At 35.2% G+C, this 21,685-nt stretch overlaps 1 protein-coding gene across 50 annotated transcripts in view; it reads left to right on the top strand.

Annotated features, from left to right (window-relative positions):
- The window catches only part of MYO9A (myosin IXA), a 296,310-nt gene that overhangs the window by 160,560 nt on the left and 114,065 nt on the right, over positions 1 to 21,685 (top strand). For 33 of the 50 annotated variants that reach the window (XM_047432576.1, XM_047432553.1, XM_047432556.1 and 30 more), the window contains 2 exons: positions 6,145 to 6,264; positions 19,114 to 19,189. In XM_047432576.1, coding sequence (XP_047288532.1) covers positions 6,145 to 6,264; positions 19,114 to 19,189 — 196 coding nt within the window. The remainder of the gene's footprint in view (positions 1 to 6,144; positions 6,265 to 19,113; positions 19,190 to 21,685) is intronic. The other 17 variants (XM_047432585.1, XM_047432571.1, XM_047432573.1 and 14 more) reach the window with 1 other exon arrangement.

The raw sequence follows: 21,685 nt of genomic DNA, 5'->3' as shown, positions 1-21,685 counted from the left end.
AACTTCAGTGGACTCTTAGTTAATTGTCAAGAAACACCCTGACTGGGAATTATACAGAAATAACCTGACTGGGAATTATACAGTATGTAGAACTGAGTACAATGATGCTTTATTTGATTCTTTTGGAGTTATTAATAAAAGTATAGCCAAATAGGAATTTAAACTAGTCTAAAAAGGCTAGGCAAAGATGGGTAATTCAGCTGTGCCATCAGGATGAGACGTGAACAAGAGGGTCCAAAGTATTTTTCAGTTTCTTCATCTACAAAGAGAGAAGCTGAAACCCTTTATATAGTGTCTGCAGATGAGAGAGCTTCAAGGTTTTCCACAGAACCTGTTTCTCTTCTTCATCCCACTCAATAGACTATGTAACTCTGATGTACTTCTGTTTGTTTATGTAAGTGGGAGAAGCGTTCTAGTGACCATCTATTTTCAAAAATGACCAGATACTAAAATTGATTTGGGTATCACCATAAGTCTAGAATCTCTATGCTGTACTCTGTACACAATTCTTCCTAGTACTTAATAGATTTAAATAAACTTTTGTTAAAAAAAAAAGGACTTTTTTTATAAATTACTTCTGTATTGGGCAGTATAGTAGGGCAATTAAGAATAAGGGTTTTGGATAGACATCAGTGAAATGGTGGGGTAAGGACCTCTAAATTTTTTTTCATAATAGCAATGAGAAAATTGGCAAAAATTGTCAAAACAACTTTGTCAGAACCCTGGAATTTAATCAAAGGCTCCCAGTAACCTGAGAAGTATTTATACAAGACAAAAGGCTGAATATCAGTAAAGACAGTGCCTAATACATATTTTAGTGAGGATATGGAAAATTAGAAGTCTTGTATACTACTGATGTAGCCACTCCGTAATACGTTTTGGCAGTTCCTCAGAAAGTTAAATATAGAATTGTATTTGACCCACCAATTCTGCTCCTAGGTATGTACTTAGAAGAACAAACAAAACAAAATGTGTAGACAGATATTCTTTACAACATCTTTCTAATAGCCAACAAGTAGAGACAACCCAAATGTTCCATCAACTGATGAATGGATGAACAAAAGGTGGTATATCCATACATGGCATGTTATTTGGCCATAAAAGAAATGAAATACTGGTACATGCCACAATATGAATGAACCTTGAAAGCATTAAGATATATATATATATATATATATATTTGTGTGTGTGTGTGTGTGTGTGTATATATATATAGCATATATAGCATATATATATAGCATACATATATACATATATAGCATACATGCTACATATATGAATATATGCTATATATGCTACATATGTGTATATATGCTAATGCATATGCTACACACATATGCTACGTGTATATAAGAGAGATATATAGATAGATATATATAGATATATATATTTTTTGAGACGGAGTCTCGCTCTGTCGCCCAGGCTGGAGTGCAGTGGTGCAATCTTGGCTCACTGCAACCTTCACCTCCCAGGTTCAAGCGATTCTCTTGCCTCAGCCTCGCTAGTAGCTGGGACTACAGGCACTCGTCACCATGCCTGGCTATTTTTATATTTTTGTATTTTTAGTAGAGGCGAGGTTTCACTATGTTGGCCAGACTGGTCTTCAACTCCTGACCTCAGGTGACCCACCTGCCTCGGCCTCCCAAAGTTCTGGGATTACAGGCGTGAGCCACCACGCTGGGCGTATTTTATATATATATATATATATATTTTTTTTTTTTTTTTTTTTTAAGAGCCGGGTTTCGCTGTGTTGCATGTGTTGGAATGCAGTGGTGCTATCACAGTTCACTGTAGCCTCAAACTCCTGGGCTCATGTTATCTTCCTGCTTCAGCATCTCAAGACACTGGAACTACAGGCACATGCCACCATGCCTGGCCTTTTCTTTTTTTAAATTTGTTTTTGGAGGTGGGTCTTGCTGTATTACCCAGGCTGGTCTTGAACTCCTGGCCTTAAGTGATCCTCGCTGCTCAGCCTCCCCCCGAGTGTCTGGGATTACAGGTGCGAGCCACCATGCCTGGTTCTCATTATATCAAAGAAGTACAGTTTCCATATTTGTAATATGGAATCATACAATACTCTATATTACAAAATGGAATATTGTATCATTCCATTTATGTGAATTGTCCAGAATAAGCAAATCTGTAGAGACAGAACTTAGATTAGTGTTTGCCTAGGGCTAGAGGGTCAGGTATAGAGCTAAGAGATGGGGAGGATGATAGAGAGTGTGAGTATCTTTTTGTATGATCAAAATGTTCTAAAATTGATTGTGGTAATGTTTATGTAGCTTCATGAATTATACTAAAAGCATTTAATTGTATACTTTAAATCAAGGAATTGTTTAGTAGGTGAATTGTATTTCAATAAAACTGTTACAAACATATAAAAAAGAATATTCTAAAGTGCTTTTATTCATAATAGTTCCTGAATGTTCATCAGTGGAAGAATGGATGACCAAATTGTGATATACTCCTACCATGTAACATTACTCAGCAATGAAAAGAAACAAACCACTGATACTCAGAATGAATGAGTCACAAAAAATCCTCAGCAAAAAGCTAGATATGAAAGAATATATGCTGTGTTATTTCTTTAGTTTAAGAACAGACAACATGGCTGGGCCCAGTGGCTCACGCCTGTAATCCCAGCACTTTGGGAGGCCAAGGTGGGTGGATCACCTGAGGTCAGGAGTTCAAGACCAGCCTGACCAACATGGAGAAACCCTGTCTCTACTAAAAATACAAAAATTTAGCCGGGCTTGGTGGCGCATGCCTGTAATCCCAGCTACTTGGGAAGCTGAGGCAGGAGAATAGCTTGAATCCAGGAGGTGGAGATTGTGGTGAGCTGAGATTGAACCATTGCACTCCAGCCTGGGCAACAAGAGCGAAACTCCATCTCAAAAAAAAAAAAAAAGGTAATAAATTGTGACAAATCAGAACTTGATTACTTCTGGTGGGATCAGGGGCAAGGGTAGTATTGATAGGAAGGGAGATAAAATAACTTGGGGGGGTGATAGAAATGTTCTCTATCTTGATTCAGGATTTTGTGGATGTAAACGTTTGTTTAAATTCATCAAACTGAGTACTTAAGAAAAGCGTTATTTTATGTTTGTGAAATATGGCTTTTAAAAATGGCCTTAAGGCCTTTGAATTGACATTACAGAAACTTTTATAGGGCCAAAGATATTGCCTAAGGTCTGAATGATACTTTGGAGCTGGGACTGAGCCTCTGTTACATAGTCCAAGTCCTTCAAAGTTATGGAACTTTTCTGTCACTAAAAAAATTATTGAAAATTGCTGGTCCTGCATAAGAAAAAATGAGGAGCCTTAGCAATCTGTGTTAGGCCTTAGATAAGGTTAAAAAGAAGTTACCTTTAAAAAAATCAATGCCCCACATCTGCACCATATATGAGTATGGGGTCTGAATTTATACTATGTGTTTGGTGCATAATGTCAAACTAAGAAATTATCATCACAACCAGTCCAGCAACTAGCATAAGCAAATACTAAATAAATCTCTTTTAAGAGTTGATGATGAGTAGGCTGGGTGCGGTGGCTTACGCCTATAATCCCAGCACTTTGGAGGCCGAGTCAGGTGGATCACGAGGTCAGGAGATAGAGACCATCCTGGCTAACACGGTGAAACCCTGTCTCTACTAAAAATACAAAAACAAAATTAGCCAGGCGTGGTGGCTGGCGCCTGTAGTTCCAGCTACTCAGGAGGCTGAGGTGGGAGAATGGCATCAACCTGGGAGGCGGAGGTTACAGTGAGCGGAGATCGCACCACTGCACTCCAGCCTGGGCGACAGAGCAAGACTCCATCTTAAAAAAAGAAAAAAGAGTTGATGATGGCCGGGCACAGTGGCTCATGCCTGTAATCCCAGCACTTTGGGAAGTTGAGGCAGGCAGGTCACGAGGTCAGGAGGTCGAGACCATCCTGCTCAACATGGTGAAACCCCATCTCCACTAAAAATACAAAAATTAGCTGGGCATGGTGGTGCGTGCCTGTAGTCCCAGCTACTCCGGAGGCTGAGGCAGGAGAATCGCTTGAACCCGGGATGCAGAGGGTGCAGTGAGCCGAGATTGCACCAGTGCACTCCAGCCTGGCGACAGAGTGAGACTCCCTCTCAAAAAACAAAACAAAACAAAACAAAACAAAACAAAACAAAAAAACAGTTGATGAGACTCCTCAGAAAAGAATCCCCACTGAAAATATAAACCATCCTGGGAAACCAAACTACCTTGGCAGGGGTTTGGTACATAAAACAAACAGGGAATATCACTTTAAGATTTAGAAATTATGTCACAGTCTGGAAAATAACGTTCAAAACTGTAAAAAGGTATAGAAAGCAGAATGAAAGAACAGGAGAGAGGTTAAAGAAACTAATCTAGGCATGGTGGTGAGACAAAGCAGTCACAGATACAAAAATACCCATTTTTAAATGGCAGTGCCACAGTTTATTAGATGAAATAGAAAATAGTTTGGTGGTTGTAGTAATGTTGATTGATTTTTTAAAACTCTACATAATAAATTAGTGTATTTTAATATCCTGAGCTCTTATACAGAATACTTTAACACATAATATTCTTGAATTATTTTTGACTAGCTGATTATCAGATTAGCTGTTGAAAGGCGTGATTGTTTAGTGATAACTTCTTCAATTTACAATTTGAATGGAGTCTGACTAGAACTCACTGGGTGTTTTTTCCTCAACTGGTCCCCTTCAGCTGACTGCCAAACCAAGTGCAGTGGAGTTTAAGGCCTAAGCATTCTTTCTCCAAGCAATCCATCAAGGGGGGATTACTGGTAATAATGAGAACAGAGTATGTTTATCGAGGTATCTTTTGAGTAAGAAATGATGTTAAGCTTGGTTATACTTCTCTTTTTGAAACATTCAACCTTTGTACCTATTGACTTTTCGTATTGTACAAATAATATAGTATTTTATTAGTTTAGTTACTTTTATTATGAAAAATATTTCAAATTCACTTTATTTTTTAAAAGCCTGTTTTCTGTGTATAATATTACATGATTTATGGTATTAGATTCCCTCTCCATTGCCAAATATGGCTGCCTATTCTCTGGATATATAAATCCAATTTAGGGAATTAGAATGAGACTAAAATATGCCCTACAAACCTCTTTGAATTAGTATGAGACTGTTTAACTTTTAAAATGATTCTGCTATGAGATTTTTCCAAAGATTGTTCTGTTGTATCTCATTCCTAATTATACAGTAAAATGCAGTAATAGAACTTTAGTTCATTTTAATGTGTTACTTAATTTGCCTCTATATTATTATGTACTTTGTTTTTTAAAAGCAAACTTATTTAAATTTGAACATTATGCCCTAACTCTAGAGGTGATCTCTGAATAAATGTTACACAACCACCACCCTAAAGCCTGGAAACTCTTTATTGCTAATATTTATGGCACTCATCTCCCATTCACTTTATTTCCTAAGTACTCACTTTAAATAACACTGATCTGGGGCTTTGGTCTTTACTTGAATGTGCTCTCTTCTATTTTTCACTGGTAGCTGATTTCTATCCTATTTTCCTAAGAAGTGATAATGAGGTACAGAGTCTTCAGCTTTGTTTTCAAATTTATAAGTACAGAAGTGCTGCTGGGCTTTCCTGCTCTATGGTGCTTTTCTTCATGTTTTCATTATTGACACACTTGTTGGAATTCCTACAAGTGTGGTTAATTGCAGGATTTGTGAAAGAATTGTTTAAGTAAATTGTTCTGGGTATATTTCTCTTTGGGGTTCCATCAGTGTTGCCAACTATATGTTAATTATATTTGAGACCTGATAAAAATAAGTCCTTTTAAAAAATAAATCATACAAATTGCTTTTGAATTTTTGCTTGTATTGAGAAATTTCTAGTATGGTGTTAACTAACAATACTTTGAGTACTGAAAAGGACACTTTGAATATCTGAAAAATGCCTGTATTTTTTCCTGTTATTTTTAAGCATTTTCCTCAAAATAATTGGACATTCACATATAACCTCTATTATTTGATACATTTTTATACACCCTTAAATAGTTGGCAGCATTGTCCTTGATTCTCTGTTGGTTTGGGCTTATATAATGTCTTTTTCTTTTCTCCTTTTTTTTTTGTTTGTTTTTTTTTGCTTCCTAAGGACATGATGATACAGCGCCATGTGCAATTTTGAAAAGTATGGATAGTTTTAGCTTTCTCCAACACCCAGTCCACCAGAGGAGCTTAGAGATTCTGCAGAGATGCAAGGAAGAGAAGTACAGTAAGGCTACAAATCCTGATAAACTGTTATCACATATCCATTTGGAAATGGAAACCAGGAGCATCCTACACCAGGGTGGGATATAGATTGTATGGGCAACATGGCCTCCATAAACCTCTGAGCAGTCTTTGAATATTTCTATTGAGTCTTTAGTACTTTCTTTTGAAAATACTGATATACTTTTTTAACTTTGGTGACTTTTCTGTTTGCCTGTGATCATTGGATTGTTAATTATACTTGGTTACAGTCACTGGATTGGTTTCTATTTGTCTTTCAAGTAGCCAAGTGATGGATAGGAATCAACAATGTTTTCTTTCCTGCTCATAAAAAAAAAAACAACAAAAAAAACTTTATTGAGGTCTAATTGAAGTAAAAAACTGAATGCAAAGACAACAATTTGGTAAGTTTTGACGTATGTAGGCACCCATGAAATTATCTCCAGAGTCAAGATAATGAATATATTCAGCATTCCCAAAAAGTTTTGTCATAGCCCTTTCTAAATCTGGATGATTTTTCTGTTTGCTTATGCTTGAAATTTCAACATTAGCAAATGTTATTTTTGTGTATCATTGGTAAATCCACTTAGTTTGATTGCAGTGCTTCAGCCAGCCTTTCCTATGTCTGGTTTAGAGCAAAACCACCGCATTAATGTTTTGGCTTGAGGAATAATAACAGAATCATGGTGCATGTTCTTTTTTGTTTGCTTTTTTATAAAATTGGTGTGAAAAGATGCCCTTGGTCTCCGTTTCCTTTCTTGCTCTTTATTTGTTGTACTCATTCTGCATGAAAATTGATTCTTTTGCCAGTTGTAAGATTACTATTATTGAGGCACTGCTATTGTGAGAATAAGTGGATCCTTCAAAATACTCAAAGACAACTCAGCAATTTGCGTATAATGGACCTACATAATCTGTTCTGAGCTTTTAATAAATTACCACTGATTTAGTTTGCTAATTTCACAGTTTTCTGGTTGAAATTCCATGAAATTTTACTATCCAGTTGTCAGTGAGAGGAGAATATAAGTAGAATTCCTAAGAACAAATGTTGTGGATTCTTTTTCAATTGCCATTGCTGTCTTGGTTAAAACAAAAGTGTGTAATGTGTTTTGAAAAACAGTATTTAAAGTATTTTCTCATTTTAAGAGGAACAAAGGTAAGTGTTTTGTTTTAAAAAGACATCCTTAAAATTATTCTTAATTGTTGCTGTTGTTTCTAAGAGGAATGTAACAAATCCTCATTCCAGTTATTCATCTTCCTATTCTGTCTTTTAATCCATGGGACATTATTTAAAATAGTCTATAAAACATTTTGGAACACTTAAATTAATTTCTATTAACTCTTAAATAGTTGCAAATGGTTTATTTGCTTTGTTTTTTCATGACCCAGCCTGACAACCCCAGACCTGATTGTATGCCAGCTACATATGGATCTTGAATAGGAGGGCACCAGTTTCAGCATAGGCTGCATGAAGAAATTGTGTGTCTATGTGTGTTCACTTGCAAATTTCTACTTTTGTGGACGTTGGAGCTCTTCCATTATTTTATGTAATTTATTCCATTTTCCACGATAGTATTAGCAATATACTAATTATAAAAAGGTATCACGTTATAAATTTTATTATACGTAAAACTGTAGATTCAAGTTTTGGAAATTGTTCTTAAAAAAAACGGAACTACCAGCTTTAGGTAGTGGTGAATTGGTGAGGTGAATGAATCCTCCCACAAGTAACAGTGATAAAACCTGGAAAAAAATTTTTAAAATAACCAAATATTTAAAAGTACTGGAAAAAGACCAAAAGTAGGCAGAAAGTAGGGAAAAGTTTATTCTTTAAAGGTAGTAAAGCAGTGGGTAAGAATTGTGAATTTGTAGCTTTTTATACAAGGGGTTTCCTAACTTGCATAGTTTCAGAGATAGAAAACCACCACCACCACCACCATACTGGCTTATTATGTTAGAAGACTTTCAGAGCAGCTTGGGGTTTAGGAGGAAAATCCTGGGACTGAGAGAGCTGCTAAAGGGCTAAAACCCAAATTAAAGTATGAACTCTGCCCATATCCCTGGCGACTGCTGTGAGTATGCAGGGAAGACCCCAGGAACCGTATTAAAAAAAAAAAAAAAAGTGGAAATCAAATAAGAGATAATCCTTGAAAGACATAACTATAATAGCTGAGCTATGCAAGTTTGCTGCTTTTTAGAAAAACTGAGGAAATTTTCTGCCTGTGCTTAGCTTGTGTGGGAAAAACTGAAGTCTTTCTGCCTTAATTGGAGTCCCATAGGAAATGAGAGATAAAGGGGTCGAAAATTATTTGAAGACAGTGGCAGAAAACATCCCTTATTTGGTTAAAAAAAAAAAAAACAAAAAAACACCCAGCATAGTGAAACCCTGTCTCTACTAAAAATACAAAATTTAGCCAGGTGTGGTGGTGCACGCCTGTAATCCCAGCCTCCTCGTGTGGCTGAAGCACAAGAATTGCTTGAACCTGGGAGGCAGAGGTTGCAGTGAGTTGAGATCACACCACTGCACTCCAGCCTAGGCAACAGAGCAAGACTGTCTCAAAACAAACAAACAAACACTAGCTTACAGATCCAGGAAGATCAGTGACCACAAAGCAGGGTAAATACGAAGGAAAACTACACCTAGGCACATTATAGATAAACTGCTAAAATGTCAAAGATAAAGAGAAAATCTTGAAAGCAGCCTGGAAAAGATACACATATTAAATACAGGGGAATAATGAGATAATTAACACTTGACTTCTCAGTAAAAATAATGGAGGCCAAAAGGTGTCAAAAAATCATGTTTAATATGTCACATCCCCCCCCCTCACAAAAAAAATTTGAACCAGAATTTCTGTATTTGCAGTTTGAGTCCAGACAGATTAACTGACAGAAGAAAAATTAACAATCTTCAGAAGAACCTAACAGTATCCACTGTTGCTATGATGTGTTATCCACAATGTCCTGTTATCATGTAGCAAAAGTATCCTTCAAAAATGAAGGTGAAATACATTTTCAGACTAACAGAGTCTGGGAATTTGTCAACATATGTATTATATGGAAAATGATAATAGAAATTCTTCAGGCTCGAGGGAAATCACCCCATGATCGTAACTTGGGTCTATAGTAGGGGTTGGCAAATTTTTTCTGCAAAAAGCAGACAGCAAACATTTTAGGCTTTGTAGGCCAGTATGGTTTCTGTTGCAGCTACTCATCTCTTCTGTGAAGGGAGCCATAGACAATACATAAATAAATGAGTTTAGCTGTGTTCCAATAAAGCTTTATTATGGACACTGATACTTAAATTTCAAACAATTTTCACATGGTACAAAAATGTTCTCCTTTTTCTCCTCAGTTAAAAACTATATAAGCCATTCATAGGTCATAGGTCATACAAAAAACAGGCAGTGGGTTTGGTTTAGGCCATGGACTCTAGTTTGCTGATACATGCATGAATTACTGGAAGGAATAAAGAAGGCAGAACTAATAAATATGTATAAAAATATAAATGACTACACATATTTTCTTGGCTTCTCTTAATTAAAAAAATGACTGTTTAAAGTAAAAAATCTGACATTATTTTGGTGGTTTAAAATATGTCCACAAATTGATACTGCCCCCTTCATAAGGCATGTCCTGTACTTAGTGACTTGCTTCCAAGAAATGGAATGTGGCAGAAGTTACAGTGTGTGACCTTCAATATTAAGACATAAAGGTATTGTGGCCTTTCCTCCTTCTCTTTCTTTCTGGTGCTCTCGCCTTCTCTCCAAAGTGGCTCTTCTCTGAAATTTCTCAGGGAGGAAATTAGAGGAGTGAGGAAAAATTGAAGTTTTGGGGAGCATGAGCTACAGCTCACTTCCAGAAATGACAGGAGCCCTAGAAAGAAGGAATCAGATGGCAGAAGGAGAGCAGGGGTAGAAAAGAAGAATCTAACTTTAATTTGAACCCATTCTTTTGGCCTTCAGTCCTGTTTGGGATGATTGAGAATATGATGTGCATCAGCAAGATGAAGGATCAGCAATTGCCAGGGAAGGGCTGAGGGCTTACTCCACCTAAATTACCCTCACCATGCTGACAGTGCCTACTTTAATGTCCCTAACCTCAGGTATCAGGATGGTCATTCAGATGATTGAAAGTTTAGTGGATTGTCTGATCAAAATGGAATTAAATGCAAATCAATTAACAGATATATCTGGGAAACCCTCACATATTTGAAAAATAAAATGTATATGTAACTAATGAGTTGAAAAAATTTCATAAGGGTAACTTGGAAGTTTTTTGATCTGAAAGATGATGGAAACAACATATTACAACTTAGGGAATATAAATAAAGAAGTACTTAGGAGAAAACTTACAGCTTTAAATTCTTAAATTAGAAAAGTAAGGTAAAATAATCAGTGATTGAGGCTTTCACCTTAAGCTAGGAAGAAAAGAGCATATTAGACTCCAAATAAGTAAAAGGAAGTAAAGTAAATAAAACTTTTTTTTTTTTTTTTTCCTGAGATGGAGTCTGGCTTGTCACACAGGCTGGAGTGCAGTGGCATGATCTTGGCTCACTGCAACCTCCACCTCCCGGGTTCAAGTGATTCTCATGCCTTAGCCTCCCAAGCACCTCGGACTACAGGTGCATGCCACCATTTTACTTTGTTTTGTTTCATATTTTAGAGATAGGAGCTCGTTCTGTCACCCAGACTGGAGTGCAATGGCACAATCATGGCTTATTGCAGCCTTGACCTCCTTGGCTCAAGTGATCCTCCCACCCCAGTCTCTCAAGTAGCTAGGTCTACAGGTGCATGCCACCATGCCCTGCTAATTTTTAAAATTTTATTTGTGGAGATGGAGTCTTACTATGTTGTCCAGGCTGGTCTCAAACTCCTGGCTTCAAGCAATCCTCCTGCTTTGGCCTCCCAAAGTACTAGGATTACAGATGTGAGCCACTACATCCGGCCTAAAGCTGGTTTTTTGAAAAGAACAATGAAGTTGATAAATCTCTAGGCCAGCATGGTGCAGTAGAACTTTCTGCGATGTGGAAATGTTCTCCAGCTACACTGTCAGTACTGTAGCCACTAGCCACATGTGGCTGTTAAGCACCTGAACTGTGTCTGGTGCAGCTGAAACTGAAGTTCTAATTTTGTTTAATGTGTTTGTATAGCCACATATAGCTAGTGGCTACTGTATTGGATAGTGCAGTTATAGCTATTCTGATCTAGAAAAGTGAGAGAAGACACAAAGCTATTACCTAGAATGAAAGAGTGGACACAATTATATATGCTACAGAAATCAAAAGTTTGACAAAGAGATTATGAACATTTATGGCAATCAGTTCAACTTACGTGAAATGGAAAAATTCCTTGAACGTCAACGGTTATTAAAATCAACCCAAGAAAATATAGAAAATATGAATAGTGCGGTATCTTTTTACAATATTGAATTCTTAACTAAAATTTTCCCCCCACACGAAGTTTAGGCCAAGATAGGCTCATTAGTAATTTTATTTAAGAAATGACTATTATACCAATTCTCTTCAACTCTTTCAAAAAACAGGAGAAGGGAACACTATCCAAATCATTTCATGAGGCCAGTGTTATTATTCTGTTACCAAAACCATTATAAGAAAACTATAGACCAATATAACTTTGTAATGGTGGATATAGAAATAATAATAGCTGGCTGAATTCAGCAATATATTAAAGATAATACATGAAGAATAATACATGAAGACCACATGGAATTTATTCCAGGGATGAGAAAGGTTGGCTTGACCATGTTAACCATATAAAAAGAAAGCCACATATGATTGTCTCAGTAGATGGAGAAAAAGTTTGTCTTAATACCACGCTCATTCTATTTTAAAACTTTTAGTAGCCTAGGAATAGAGACCAACTTCCTCTACTTTATGAAGAATATGCATGAAAATCCTACAGCAAACTCCATAGTTATTAGTGAAAGATTGAATACTTTTTCCCTAACATTAAGAACAAGGCAAAGACATCTTTTGCCACTTAAATTTGACATTTGCTAAAGGTCACAGGTGGTGCAAAAAGGCAACAAAAAGAAATTGTACATAGATTGAAAAGAAGTAGTCAACAAATTCATTAATATAGGAAGTGTGAAGGAATCACACTTCCTATTTAAGGAAAAGTGCTCTTAAAACTAAAAAGTGAGTTTAACATTTTTACGGGATACCAAGTAATTATAGAAAATTGTAATATCCTAGCCATGAGCACTAAGAAAATGATTTACAAATTCCATGTACTGTACATCTATGGCAGCCAGCCTCCTAGATGTCACAAGCTTTTATAGTCCTCTCCTATATTTTACAAGAGTTGGTCTGTGTAACAGAAAGCACATGGCAAAAATGATGGTATGTCACTTTTACGATTTCTGTAAAAGACTGCAATTTCCTTCTGGGGTACTGCTTTACTTGCTAGGCCTCTCTGAAATCACTGTCTCTTGGAGAGACAAGATGCTATTTGTGAGTAGCCAAAACTCAGTATGAACTGAGGCTTGTCACCAACTATGTGAGTGACCTTAGAAGTGGATCCTTCATTCCAATGTTGAGATGACTGCAGCCTTGGCTGATAGCTTGAATACAACCTCTTGAGACATGTTGAGTCAGAACCACCCAGCTAAGCCACTCCTGAATTGTTGTTCCTCTAAAAACTATATGAGATGATAACTTGTTTTAAAGTGTTGGATTTTGGAGTAATTTAATATGCAGTGGATAATTAACAGAAACATGAAATACTTGGGGATAAATTTAACAAATATGTTTAAGAGTTGTGCACTACTAGGAGAAACTGAAGAATACAATGAAGAGAGATACATATTTATGTTTGTATTTTTGAGATGCAGCTCTCTCTCAGATTGATCTATAGATTGAATTCAACCCAATAAGTATAATAGCAGATTTTTTGGTAGAAATTAACAAGCTGAATCTAAACTTTATAGAGAAATGTAGAATACCCAGACTGTCCAAAACAATTTTTAAACAGAACAAAGCTGGATAATTTACATTATATGATTTTAAGACTAAAATATTCATGACATTGTTCTATTGGTGTTAAGGATCAATGGATTAATGAACCAAATACAAAGTACAGAAGTAGATCTACACATACACAGTCAGTTGATTTTCTGTTAAGGCACCAAGATAATTTAGTGGGGGTAAGGGATAGTCTTTTAAACAAATAGCACTAGAACAACTGGATATCCATAAGGTATAAGAGAACTTTGACCCTTATATCATACATGTAAGTTAATTTTGAAATGTGTCATACAGCTCTATGTAAGGACCAAAACTATTAAATTTGTCTTAAAATAGAAGAAAACCTGAGAAACAAATTTTTGTAATCTTGTGACAGGCAAAAGTTTCTTAGATGAGACATAAGAGCATGAATATAAAAGGAAAAAATTAACAAATTGGTAAAGTTAGCCAATTTGAAAACTACTTTTCTTAACTGCTATTAAGAAAACAAAAAACATACCACAGCCTGGGAAACAGTATTTATTACAATTTGTAATATTCATACCTGATAATGGACTTGAAAACAAAATATAAAAACTCCTACAATAATAAGATAAACAGGCCAGTTTTTAAATGGGCAAAAGATTTGAACATACACTTCCACAAAAGAAGATTTATCTGTGTTCTCATGAAAGATGTTCAACTTTTTCATTATGGAAAGGCAAATTGTAATCTGACTAAGGTCACTAATACGTCTATAGTGGCTAAAATGTAAGAAGTTGAAATACGAACTGATAAGGATGTGGAGCAACTGGAGCTCTCCTACTGTCTCTTGGCACTGTCAAATGGTACAGTTATTTCCGAAAACAGTTTGTCAGTTTTATAAAGATAAGCGTATTTTTCCCATATGTTTCATGAATTCAAATCTCAGTTATTTACCTAAGAAATGAAAGTATATATTCACAAAAGACTTTTACGTATGAATCTCTAAAGTGGTATGCTAAGGGAAGGCCTATCCTCAAAGCATACTGTTTTATTCCATCTGTATAAAGTTCTAGTCAATACAAGCCAATCTGTGTGGAGAGCAAGTTAGTGATTGTCTTTACCCATAAGTAAGTGTGGGAGATTGTCCAAGAAGGGGCATAAGGCAACTTTGGTGATGATGGAAATGTTTTGTATCTTTCTTTGGTGGTTATTAGTGTGGTGAATGCATTTAGCAAAACTTATTTAACTGTACATTTAACATATATATGTTTAACTTTGAAATTTTTATTCCAATAAAAATGTTTAATTACATGTTATGAAGCCTGATACAAGTTACAAGTAAATGCCTAGAAGAGATTATTTTTCATGAAACTAAGAATATCCAAAATAAAAAATTGTATATGATCAGAATTACTGCTTGCAGATGGTATACAGAGACAAATATAGAAGATACTGGCATGCATTTTGGTGAAAACTGAAGGGAAAGCGGGGAGCTCTACTGCTCTTGAATTAACATAATCTTTTCAAGTTTAGGAAATCAGTATAATTAAATAAATTGAACGTGTACCTTAAGGACAACCACAGTAATAACAATTTTTATCTTTTAAGGTAGCATAAGAGACCTTATAAAGTGAAAATCAAGAAGGAAAAAAATGAAAGAGTGAAATAAATGAAAAACATGAAATGAAATGCCAGAAACAAGTATTATTTAAAATTAATATAAATGGTTTACACTCACCAGTTAAACTCTCAATGAATTTTTCAGTAGTTTAAGTGATAGCTACATGATTTTTAATTAAAGAGGTGAAAATAAAAGGATGGACAGTGATGTACCAGGCAAATATGAATGATAGCAATTATTAAAGCTAGATAGTAATCTGAACAGATGCTCACCTATATAGATTTTAAAAATTTAGTTGAGCAAGATAGAAGCTGAACCCACTAGAAAGTTTTGATATTTAATAAAGAACTTGGTAAATGTATATATAAAGCTAAATAAGCAACAATTTTATAAAACTTATACCTAATTTGCTTGATGAAGGAAAAGAAACAAGGTGAATGTAAGTATTGGGTAGCAATAACATCCCTAATGAGAAGGGGATGACTTTAATTAAAACATTTGAAGGTTCTTGTACTCTTTAGAGAAAGAGAACAGATTATTAGTTTAGAATTCATGAGTATGTTAAACATTTAAGGATAAATAAAGCAGAAAGTATACAATTTGTGGAACAAAAGAAGTCAAAGTACAAAGAAAACAATAGAAGCCTGGATGAAAGCATATAATAGTTAAGGTAAATAAAAAAATATAAACTAAGATGTCAGAAAAAAATTCCAGATGTATCAATTATAGCAGTAAGTTAAAATGGACTAAACTGAACAGTTTAAAAAACATTATGGATTAAGGAAGATGAGCAAAATTTAGCTGTAGAATGCTTACAAGAGACAAACCTAAAGCATATAAACACAAAGAAATTAAGAATATTAGGAAAGAGTTATATCAAAATTTATCCTTATTCTCTTGTACATTTTCCCACCTCCTTTAGGTAACCACAGATTTATTACTATAAGTCAGTTTTACATTTTCTAAAAATTTTACGCAAGTGGGATTACATAGTATGTATTTTGTGTTCTGATTGTGTTATGCAACATAGTTATGCATGTATTCATACATATTTTTCCATATATCATTTGTTGCTCAGGTGTGTTCCATTGTATATGTATATACACACATTGTATTTAATTTATATGATTATATATAATGTATATAATTGTGCTTATTGATTTGTTGGTGTAGTTAAGAATTATATATATTGTTAGAGCTATTGTGAACAACAGTGCTATAAACATTCTTTTTTGAGTCATTTTGCAGACATATATTTTTATTCCTCAGTAAATACTTATGAGTGGAGTTACTTCATGAAGTAGGCATATGTTTAACATCATTACAAACTATCAAATTTTTGGCATTTTAAAGATGTTCCATGTTCTTAGGGCTTTATTTGTGATGATTACTCAGATTGTCATCCCATTGTCATTCCTTCATATGTCGTGTACCTTTTTTTCCTTTGACTTTAAAATTTTCTCTTCATATTTGGCATTCAGCAATTTGATTCTCATGTCCCTAAATATGATTTATATTAATTTTCTTTGGGATTTGCTGTACCTTTTGGACTTTCATTGTTTTTCATCAAATTTAGAAAATTTTTGGCCAATATTTTTCAAAAATTTTTTCTGCTACAATTTCTTTTTTCCTTCTGAAACTCCAGTTACAAATGTTGTTAGAATATTTGATACCATCTCAAGATAGCTATTTTAAAATGCTTTTTTTGCTAATTCGAACAAATGGGCAATCTTGGGATCTGATGGGTTTGTTGTTGTTGTTGTTGTTGTTTTTGAGATGGAGTCTTGCCCTGTCATCCAGGCTGGAGTGCAATGGCGCGATCTTGGCTCACTGCAACCTCTGCCTTCTGGGTTTGAGCGATTCTCCTCCCTCAGCCTCCTGAGTAGTTGGGATTACAAGTGTGTGCCACCATGCCGGGCTAATTTTTGTATTTTTGTAGAGATGGGGTTTTACCGTGTTAGCCAGGCTGGCCTCGAACTCCTGACCTCAGGTGATGTGCCCACCTTGGCCTCCTAAAGTGCTAGGATTACAGGTGGGAGCCACTGCACCTGACCAGATCTGATGATTTTTAAATGGGATCAGGGAGTGAGCTACACAGGGCTTCATTTTTTAATCTGAGTGATCCATCATAAGTGTTTAGTATATTATTCTTTAGGCCACTTTTATGTTTAAAATACTTAATAATTGATGTAAAAATGGTAACCATTGCCTAATCTATTGTCTAGAAATTTACTCCTCCTCCCCCTCCTCCTTTCTTCTGTCTCTTCTTTCTTCTTCCTTCTTCTTTGAGATGGAGTCTTCCTCTGTCATCCAGGCTGGGGTGAGATGGCGTAGTCATAACTCACTGTAGCCTTGAACTCTTGGACTCAAGCCATCCTCCTTGAAGATTGTTTGCAAGATTGTTTTCAGCTCTTGTGGATCCCTTGTATTTCCATGTTAATTTTAGGATTGGCTCATTCATTTCTACAAAAATAATTATCTGGAATTTTAATAGAAAATGCATTGATCTGTAGGTCAGTTTGGGGAACATTGACATCTTAACAATATTATATTTTCCAATTCAGGCACATAGATAGTATTCCATTTAGTTGAGTCTTTATTTTCTTTTAATGATGTTTTATAGTTTTCAATGTAGACATTTTATACTTTTAAAAATTTCATTTCAGAATATTTATTGCTATTTCCGCCCCTCCTCCCCCAACCCCGTCCCCGCTCCAAGACAGGGTCTCACTCTGTCACCCAGGCTAGAATGCAGTGGCACGACCTCAGCTCACTGCAGCCTCGACCTCTGGGGCCCAAGCAGTTCTCCCACATCAGACTCTCAAGCTGGGACTATAGGTGTGAGCCACTACACTCAGCTAATTTTTGTATTTTTTATAGAGGTGGGGTTTCAGCATGTTGCCCAGGCTTGTCCTGAACTCTCGGGCTCAAGTAATCTGCCTGTCTTGGCCTCCCAAACTGTTGGGATTACCAGCATGGGCCACTGTGCCTGGCCCATTTGCATGATTTAAACAGCACAAAGAGTCTTCTGTGGGTTTTCAGTTTCCCTCATTCATACAGAAAGATAACAATCACTTCATGTGGATATAGTGTTGACTATGTGCCAAGCACTCTTCTAAGCACTTACATGTATTTTTTATTTTTAGTATAGATGAAGTCTAAGTTGCCCAGCTTGTCTTGAACTACAAAGCTCAAGTGATCTGCCTGCCTTGGCCTCCCAAAGTGCTGGGATTACAGGCATCTGTGACTACACCTGGCCACCACTGTATATTTATTTGTTTCTTGTAGTTTTGCAGAACTCGTTTATTAGTCGAATCAGTTTTTTTAAATTATTCCATAGGATTTTCTGCCTACAAGATTGTCATCTTGAGTAGAGATACTTTTACTTCCTTTTTCCAGTGTATCTTACATATATTACATGTTTGTGTGTTATAAAAATTGATAGCCTTATGCTTACGGAACTTACATGTTTATCATATGATTTGAAGAACATTACATTTTTTAAATATTAGTAATTCTTAAGGAAGCAATTTCTTTTATATTCATCGTATTTATAACATTAATTCTCAATACATTGATACTCATTGTATTTATCTGAACATGTCAGAAATGTATGGCTAAAAAATGATGCATCAAAATAAGAAATGAATTTGTGCAGTCATAAAAAGAACAAGATCATGTCTTTTGTGGGAACATGGATGGAGCTGGAGGCTATTGTCCTTAGCAAACTAAATGCAGGAACAGAAAACCAAATACTGCATATTCTCACTTATAAGTGGGAGCTAAATGATAAAAACTTATGAACACGAAGGAAACAACAGACAGTGAGGTCTAGTTGAAGATGGAGGTTGGGAGGAGGGAGAGGAGCAGAAAAAATAGCTATTGAGTACTGGGCTTAGTACCTGGGTGAAATAATCTGCACAACAAACCCCCGTTACATGAGTTTACCTTTGTAACAAACCTTCATGTGTACCCCCTGAACCTAAAAATAAAAATGAACTTGTACACTTCTAGGCCTTCAGTCCAGTCACCCTTGTATTTTCTGAAGTTAATGATTCAATGAAAGAAGAAAATATTTCATTATTAAATTTTCTAATTGGGTTCATTGTTAACTAAGATCTATGACAGTTATGAGACTTGGGTCATGTAATTATTTAGATATTTCTGAAATATTTAGCAAATACTCGTGATTAAATTTTCGTTTGTCTTTAGAAAAACTATTTCACGTTTCATTTTTCTTTGCACTGATTTGAAATTTTCTGTTTTTTAAATTTTGCTAGGTATAACCCGGAAAAATCCCAGAACACCTCTTTCTGATCTCCAGGGCATGAATGCTCTAAATGAAAAAAACCAACAGTAAGTGTGTTTGGTTTATGTTTTCAAGGACGTATAGAAGAAATAACTAACATTCTTATTGATATTTTTGTGACTTTAAAAGTTTGAAGTAATTCAGGCTTGTTTTGTTTTTTTATTTCTTGAATCCTTTATAAGTGATGTAATAACACATTAATAGGTTAAAGTTAACAAGATTTGTCTACAGTTGCTTCTGGTAAAATGGCTTTACAATTTTGAAAAAGTTTCTTCAGAATAACTTAAAATGAGCTCATATATTTTAATTGCTGAGACCCTTCTTGCATTTTATGTCTTTTACAAAATTTAAGGGTTATTCCGCTGCTTTCTGTGGAGAAATCTTATTGGGAAGTAATAATTGAATAGTTTGATTTACATCAAACCATCCAATACCTTTTTTGGGTGAGTGCGATTACCAAAGCTTACCTTTTACTATTTTCAATGATGAATTCCTGAGAACAATTTGACAGTAACAAATATAAATAATTTTATGAGTTCATAAAATTTTGTTTTTTATATATACTATTTAATAAAGATTGTAATTTGTATGAGGAGAACATTGTTTCTAGAATGTATTCTGTATGTTTTAAACATCATCAAAAAATTGAGCTTCCTAATACTGTGGTAATAAGGATGGTCTGTCATTAAAATGAAGGTATAACTTCATTGATCATTTTTTCCAATTGAGTCACCGTGTCTTTCTAATACATAATTGTCACTTGTCTGCTCAGTAACTTTTTCATGACTCTTTATTGCTTATTTAAAAGTCTAGGTTCACTAACTTCATATGCAAGATCTGTCACAGCCCAAGTATCTAGCCACAAATATATTCACTTTGAATGCCACAAATTAAGCTATTTGCTATCTTTATATTGTATGTCCTTTGTTTTCTTAACAGTAGTATTTGGCTAACTATGGTATCTACCACCATATTTGCATGTTAAATTTTACCCGAACACAAATTAGATAGTTAACCTTGACCTGTGTACCTTCAGTTTCATCTGTTGGCAGTATTCTCACCCTGGTCATCAGATGGGAACCCAATTTTCTTGATTATATAAAAAAGAAACCGCAATATGCCTCATTTCACAAAGCAGTTTAGTGGTTTTAAGTTTCCTAATTTCTAGTTTGTGCTTCTTTCTTTGTACTTTCCATTTTGGATACCTGAAGTGATCTATATGGGTTTCTGGTTCAGTTCCAGACCACCACAATAAAACGAATTCTCAGTAAAACAAATCACACAAATTTTTCGGTTTCCCAGTGCATATAAAAGTTATGTTTACACTATACTGTAGTCTGTCAATTGTGCAATAGTATTATGTTTAAAAAATACATACACACCTTAATTAAAAAATACTTTGTTGCTAAAAAAAATAACAATCATCTGAGCCTTCAGTGAGTCATAATCTTTTTGCTGGTAGAGGGTCTTTCCTTGATGTTGATGGCTGCTGACTGTTTAAGGTGGTGGATGCTGAAAATTGGAGTGGCTATGGCAATTTCTTAAAATAAGACAATGAAATTTGCACATCAGTTGCCTCTTCCTTACAGGAAAGATTTCCCTGTAGCATCCAATGCTGTTTGATAGCCTTTTATCCACAGTAGAACTCCAGAATTGGAGTCAATCCTCTCAAACCCTGCCACTGCTTTATCAACTCAATTTCTATAATGCTTTGAATCCTCTGTTTTCTTTTTTTAAAAGAATTTTTTCCTCACAGTCCCTACTGCAGAATATGTTGTCATTTCAACACTTTTCACAGTATCTTCACCAGGAATGTATTTTCCTACTGCATTTTTTCCTCCCTCTCCCTCCCTCCCTCCCTTCGTTTTTCCTTCCTTCCTGCTTTCCTTCTTCCCTCACTTGCTTCCTTCCTTCCTCTCACTCTCTCCTCTCTCTCTCCTTTTGTTTTCTTTTTTTTTTTTCTAAAGCCAGAGTACCACTCATTTTTGTAAATGAGAAAAATATAAGTGCACACACAAACCATCTTAAGTGCAGTATGATTCTCCCATTTGGGAAGACACATTATCTTAGGGATGATGATTCACTGACTTTTTTTTAATGGTTTAGCACAAAATAATGAAAATACAAGCGTTTCTAAATGGTTTATTGATTACATGCCATTTATATATCTTGAATAAATGCTCTAAGCAAATGGAAGCTGAGATTTATAAATATGGACAAATGTGAAATTGTTGTAAGTAGCTATCTCCTGATACTTCTTTTAAAAAATTTTTAGTTCACTCATAATAATTATACATATTATCAGGTACAGTGTGATGTTTTGATACCTGTATACATTGTGTAATGATCAAATTAAAATAATTACCATATTCGTCGTCTCAAATATGTGTCATTTTTTTGTGGTGGGAACATTTCTCTTTCAAAATTCTGTCTTCTAGCTGTTTTCAGGTATACAATACCTTATTGTTAACTATAATCACTTCATTGTGCAATAGAGGACCACAATTTATTCCTGTTGTCTTACTGTAACTTCGTACCCATTG

The sequence above is a fragment of the Homo sapiens genome, chromosome 15 (genome assembly GCF_000001405.40).
Source record: "Homo sapiens chromosome 15, GRCh38.p14 Primary Assembly".
NCBI classification, from domain to species: Eukaryota; Metazoa; Chordata; class Mammalia; order Primates; family Hominidae; genus Homo; species Homo sapiens.
The sequence above is the reverse complement of the archived record's forward strand: the minus strand, read 5'-3'. Positions and strand labels throughout refer to the sequence as shown.